The 7,336-nt window shown below is 37.9% G+C and overlaps 1 annotated feature.

Annotated features, from left to right (window-relative positions):
• Nucleotides 496-545: a silencer, noted in NCBI's record as "silent region_2596". NCBI's record gives its function as "represses an Ori minimal core promoter by ATAC-STARR-seq in GM12878 lymphoblastoid cells {active_cell/tissue: GM12878}" and the evidence as "EXISTENCE:reporter gene assay evidence [ECO:0000049][PMID:35858748]".

Here is a 7,336-nt window from a genome sequence, read left to right as displayed (position 1 = left end):
CTCCCTACAAGGGAACAGAGAGACGGAGTTTGTAGTTTTACAGCTTCTATGACAGAGCTAGACAAATGAGATGAAAGAAATGAAAGTGGGAGTTGCCAATCAAGTACTTCAGACTTCAGAAAAAATCAAAACCACATTATTGCATCTGCAGATTTCCTAAAATCCTGTGAGCAACACATCTTACGCTAATTTACTTGTGCTGACGTTGATTTCCATTTGCATAATTCTTGGAGTGATCTTATTTCAAAATTTTCCACTCTATAATATATGAACAATATTACACTTCTCATTTATATGGTCTATTTTATCAAAGTAAACTAGGAAAAGGTTTGAAAATATTTGTACATGCTAATTCAGGTAACTGGATGAAAAAATATATTTTTGGCCATGTGTTATTTTTTAATTAGTTCCTGGAATCTTCCCCAGTGGTGGCAAGAATTTATTTGGTTGGCAAGCAACAGTACCAAAGACAATTTTACCTATCTTTCCACATTTTTGCCCTGTTTAGTATATTACATAAATTGGAGTTGCATATGTAAGGCCAGAGAATGGGTTTTGTCCAGGGTCTTTTTCATTGAGAAGTGCTTTGTCTCCATCTGGTGGACAATCATAACCTCACAATGTTAGCAGTTAGCGGACGCTCTGAAGCCTGGAGGCACATTAGGATCAGAGAGGTGCTTGTAAATAATCTAATACCTACCCCCTCCCCAGACCAACTGAGTCAGAGGGTGTAGGATAGAATCAGGCTTAGTATTTTTTTTAAGACTTGTAGGCAACTTTATTGTGTAAATAAGATTAAGAACCACTGAGTTAGAAAAAGCTCCAGATTAGTGATGAATATTGGACAATTCCTTGTGTAAGACTGCTATAAAGTAAAAAGAGCAATCTATATAGGTAAACTACATAATCTTCCAAAGGCCCTTTTACATCTTCCAGAGCAGAAATCACCAATGAGCGGCTAGCAATGTAAGAAATCTAAATCTAAATCCAAATTTCTTCCTGTGCAACTCTCCCTATAATGAGGCAGAAAGTGCTGTCAGAGACATACAAATACACACACAATCAGACTTGTCCCTAGGCCAAACTGTCAAGTACAGTCCATCTTTCATGTCCTCGGGTTCCACATCCATACATCCAACCAACCACGGATCAAAATATTTTTTAAATAAACTACGTAAATTTTAAAACAACACAGCATTAACAACTACACGTCACATTTATATTGTATTTGGTATTGTAAATAATCTAGAGATGAATTAAAGTATATAACGGGATGTGTGTAGGTTATGTCTAAATACTATATACCCTTTTATATGAGACTTGAGCATCCACAGGTTTTGGCATTTGCTGGAGTCCTGGAACCAGTGCACCAAGGAAACCAAGAGATGACTGCAGTTTCCATCTGATTTTGATACTTTATGTGTTAACAGGCAACTTTCTTATGTATATTCTCATCTAACCCTCCTTTCTTCCCGTGAATGCCAATACTTGCCAAAGAGCACAGGGCCCTCGAGTGCCTTCGGTGCCCGCTCAGGCACTGCTTTTTCCTCCATCTTCTCTTCATTAAAACTGACTTTGCCAGGATCTGCTTCTTTCTGAGCTCAACTTTAAAAAAAAAAAAATGGTCACAGATTTACTTAATATTCACTTGTCAAACACACAGTTGATAATCTTGAGGGAAAATACATCCAAGGCAAACATACAACTATAGGAGTTATACATGTAGCGTGAAAGGTCCATTTTATTATTTATTACATATTCTGGAAGACACACAAATAAATAGATGGAAAAAGGTCGTTGTCCTTTTTAAAAGTTTGTCAAACCAATTTCGATGGATAATGGCTCAATCTTCAAGATATAGTTGTTCCTCTGCTTATCCATGGTTCCACTTTCTGTAGGTTCAGTTACCCGTGGTAAACCATGGTTTAATACAGTCTGAAAATATTAAATAGAAAGTTCTAGAAATAAACAATGTATAAGTTTTAAGTTGTGCCCCATTTGAATAGTGTGTTGAAATCCTACGCCATCCAACCCAGGATGTGAATCATCCATACTATGAACACTTCCCATTAGTTCCTTAGTAGCCCTCTGGATTATCAGATTGACCATCAGTTATCACAGTGCTTACTTAATAAAGGTCCCAAAGTGCCACAGTAATGATGCTGGCATATTGTTATAATTGTTCTATTTTATTATTATTGTTAATCTCTTACTGTGCCTAATTTATAAATTAAACTTTATCATTGGTATGTTTGTATAGGAAAAATGTAATATACATAGGGTTCGGTATCTGCAATTTCAGGCATCCATTAGAGGTCTTGGGATTTATCCCCCAAGGGTAAGAAAGGACTACTGAATAGCAGGAAAGCAACCATAGGTAACATGTAAGTGGATGGACATGGCTGTGGTCTAATAAACAGACCCCTGGTCTACTGGATCATCGGTCATAGATAAGTACCTTGTCTTAAAATTTCCACAAAACACTTGAGAAACACTTGAGATTTAAAATCTACTTTTCTTTTCCCTTAAAAATTTCAAAAATGAGTTTTAACTTTAGCTGACTAATAACCGATAAACACATTACATCTGAAGTATGACTTTTTGGTGTTCTGATACTCATAGTCAATTTTTTATGAACATTTTAATAGCATATTGAAAAAGTCTTCTAAAGTAATGGTAAGAATTTATATTTTTCATGAAGAATCAATATGTCTGTCAAGACTAAGAGTAATAAAATTACTTGATGTAGGACTGAAACACCTGTTTTATTTTCCCAATCTAAACAAAATTTCCTTGACGTTAGAGTTGTCACTAGCAACAATTCTTTTTTTAATTGTTTTTGTTATTTATAACATGTAGCTAAAAGTATTCACAGATACATAGTTTAAAAAACAAAAAAAAGCCCGCAGAAGATATCTGCTTTTAGAAAATGCAGTTTGAAAAACATCAGGCAAATTTGGAGGATCATGTATTATTGTTATAAGTGAAGCAATGTAGGAAATAAAAACACAAAACTGGCATCTTGGTTCTGCATCAGTTCCTCTGACAAACTCTCAAAATAGATACTGTTTAGTAGAAAATGCACGTTTTACAACATTGAGTATCACATATGGGCTAAAGTGGGCTTAACATGCCACTGATGGACACACAAATTCAAGCCCTTTGTGTGACATAAATACAAGTACCAATTAAAGAAACGACAAATAATTTTTTAAATTGTCATCTTAGGGCAAGAACAGTCCCAAAATAAATGACGTATAGAGTGATGATACAAGTGGGCTAAGTCTTAGGATAAAATTTTCGTTCTTAAACTATATACCGCTAGGACATATACCACCTAACTACTACTGTTTCACAGGACTAGCAACCATCAATCATCTTCTTGCTAATTGGTATACAAACTGCACAGAAATTATGTATCTGAAATTGGGCCTCTAAATTTGTCTCAAGATTCTATATAGAACTTAATCATGCTGAATCAACACCATGGGTCCACTTGTTATTTTACTTGGATTTATGCCCTTAATCTACATGGAATGTATAATAAGAGAAAATTTAAAATGTGTATTAGAACGAAAATACTTAACTAATGAAATTTTAGCTAACTACAGCCAAAAAGCAATCATTTTTATTGTATGTACTATTAATTAGAAAAGACTATGCTAGTTCAAGACTTAGGTTCAGGAAGTCAAAATGGGCACCAAGTACTCTGTAGGCTGAGCAAGTCAGCAGGCAGCTGTTCTCCTTACAGTGCCTCAGTACACAGGTGCCACCGTCTCAGTGCAAGAGCTCAGAAAAGAAGCTGCAAGGTCAGAAGGAGTCTACTCCTCAGGTTGAAGAGACATGTAAATGATGCCTCACTCCACTCAGAAGTTACTAGCCAGGACACTAGAAAAAGAAATGGTGGATAGGAGGCAGGACTAACCTGCAGCTCCCACTCAGACAGAGCAGCATGTGGAGATTCACATAATGAATTTTTGCTCCAAGAACTACCACAGGAACATACCAGGAAAGCCCAGAGGATCCACGGATCCTTTGAAGGAAGCAGATTGCTGCTGCAGACGCCTGGAGACAGCCAAAACACTGTGAGTGCCCAAAGTGTGAAAGAAGGATCATCTGCCCCCAAACACACACCCTCAATGGGGAACCTGAAGGTCCAGATCACAGAAGAAGGATTTGACCTTACCTGGAGCTGAGACAAATTTAGAGAGCCAAGTGAAATACAGGTGTAGAAGAGGCAGCAGGAAGAGCCCTGTGGGCACGCTTGGTCCCCAGGGAAGCCATTTCTGATTGGTCTCACAGGAGTCCTTGGGGAGGGCTGCCAGAGGAACTGGGAAAAGCCCACAGGGAGAAGGAAACTTCCCGCTGAACTCTGTAACCATTTTGACCAAACACAAAGTTTCCTGGACAGAACTTGGCATAGGAGGGTGAATAGGGAGTGCAGACACAGCACAGAAGCTGCGGCAGGTGGGGAAGCACAAAACGTGAAAGCCCTGCCTGCTTTCTCAGCTGGGAGGCTGGTAGCCTGGGGCAAGTTCTCAGCCCTGTTCACTTGCTGACTGGAAATAAACTCAGTGCTATAGAGAGGGCACAGTAGGAGTGAGACTGGCCTTTTGGGCTGCGTGGGAGCTGGGTAAGGCCTAAAACTGCTGGTTCTCTCCCACTTCCCTGGAGACCTGCATGACAGCAGAGGCAGCCATAATATCTCTGGAAACATAACTCCATTGGCCTGAGAACCACACCCACATACCCAACAGCAGCCACAGCAAGCCCCACCCAAGGAAAGTCTGGGCTCAGATAGACCTAACCTTTCCCCAACCTGATGGTCTTTCTCTACCTACCCTGGTAGCTGATGACAAAAGACATAATATCCTGGGAGCTCTATGGCCCCACCCACCGCCTGATCCTTCCTATACTACCAGAGCTGATGCTCTCTTGCAAGTGCCACCTCCCGGCTGGAGGCCAACCAACATAAAACGCACAATAAACAAAACCACAACCAAGAACTCTCACAGACTTCACTTCACTCCCCTGCCACCTCCACCGTAGGTGGCTGGTATCCATGCCTGAGAGACCTAAAGATGGTTCACATCACAGGACATTGTGCAGACACTCTCCAGTAGCAGCCTGGAGCCCAGCAGCTCTGCTGGGTGGTTAGATCCAGAAGAGAAGTAACAACCACTGCAGTTCGGCTCTCAGGAAACCACATCCCAAGGGGAAGGAGGAGAGCACCACATTAAGGGAGCATCCCCGTGAGACAAAAGATCTGAAGAGCAGCCCTTGAGCCCCTGATCTTCCCTCTGACATAGTCTACTCAAAGGAGAAGGAACCAGAAAAAAACAATCCTGGTAATATGACAAAACAAGATTAACACCCCACAAAACATCGCACTAGCTCACCAGCAATGGATCCAAACCAAGAAGAAATCTCTGAATTGCCAGAAAAAGAATTCAGAAGGTCAACTATTAAACTAGTTAAGGAAGCACCAGAGAAAGGTGAAGTCCAACTTAATGAAATAAAAAAAAAATGATATATGATAGGAAAAGAAAAAAACTTCTGTGAAATAGATAGAATAAATAAAAGACAATAACAACTTCTGGAAATGAAGGACACACAGAAATGCAAAATGCACTGAAAAGTCTCAGCAACAGAATCCACAAGTAGAAGAAAAAATTTCAGACCTTGAAAACAAGGCTTTCAAATTAACCCAATCTGAAAAAGACAAAGAAAAAAGAATATATATTATATATATAATTATATATATAATTATATATATATAGAATATATAATATTCTATATTATATAGAATATATAATATTCTATATTATATAGAATATATAATATTCTATATTATATAGAATATATAGAATATATAGAATATATATAATTATATATTCTATATTATATATAATTATATATAATATTTATTATATATTATATATTATTATATAATATATAAAATAATATATAATATATTAATATATTAAATTATAATTATATAATTATAATATATATAATTATATATAAATATATAATTATATATAAAATTATAAAATATAATATATAATTATATACAATAATATATACTATATATTCTTTTTTCTCTTTTTATATATAATATAATAATTAATATAGTTCAATATATTATATATTATAAAAAATATATATGATGGAATACTATGCAGCAATAAAAAGGAATGAATTAACAGTATTTGCAGCGACCTCTATGAGACCGGAGACTATTATTCTAAGTGAAGTAACGCAGGAATGGAAAATCAAACATCCTATGTTCTCACTGATACGTAGGAGCTAAGCTATGAGGACTCAAAGGCATAAGAATGATACAATGGACTTTAGGGACTTGGGGGAAAGGGTGGGAGAGGGGTGAGGGATAGAAGACTACAAATAGGCTGCAGTGTATACTGCTTAGGTTATGGGTGCACCAAAAGCTTACAAATCACCACTAAAGAACTTACTCATGGACGGGCGCGGTGGCTCACGCCTGTAATCCCAGCACTTTGGGAGGCCGAGGCGGGCGGATCACGAGGTCAGGAGATCGAGACCATCCCGGCTAAAACGGTGAAACCCCGTCTCTACTAAAAATACAAAAAATTAGCCGGGCGTAGTGGCGGGCGCCTGTAGTCCCAGCTACTTGGGAGGCTGAGGCAGGAGAATGGCGTGAACCCGGGAGGCGGAGCTTGCAGTGAGCCGAGATCCCGCCACTGCACTCCAGCCTGGGCGACAGAGCGAGACTCCGTCTCAAAAAAAAAAAAAAAAAAAAAAAAAAAAAAAAAAAAAAAAAAAGAACTTACTCATATAACCAAACACCACCTGTGTCCCAATAACCTATAGAAAAATAAAGTTTAAAAAAAAGAATAGAAAACATTTGCCTTGTTACCTACTACCCCCCCAAAAAAAACTGGGCTAAGGACATGAATAGACAACTCTCAAAAGAAGATATACAAATGGGCAACAAACATATTAAAAATGCTCAACATCACTAATTATCAGGGAAATGCAAATCAAAACCACAATGCAATGCTATCTTACTCCTGCAAGAATGGCCATAATTTAAAAATCAAAAAATAAGAGATGTTGGTGTGTACGTGGTGGAAAGGGAACACTTTTACTCTGCTGGTGGGAATGTAAACTAGTACAGCCACTATGGAAAACAGTGTGGAGATTCCTTAAAGAACTAAAAGTAGATCTACCATTTGATCCAGCAACTCCACTACTGGGTATCCCTGAGGAAAAGAAGTCACTATATGAAAAAGACACTTGCACACGTATGTTTATAGCGGCACGATTCACAATTGCACGATTCACAATTAGCCTT

Source organism: Homo sapiens, chromosome 10, assembly GCF_000001405.40.
Source record: "Homo sapiens chromosome 10, GRCh38.p14 Primary Assembly".
Lineage (NCBI taxonomy): Eukaryota > Metazoa > Chordata > Mammalia > Primates > Hominidae > Homo > Homo sapiens.
Note: the sequence above shows the minus strand (reverse complement) of the source record. Positions and strands in the feature narration are given on the sequence as shown.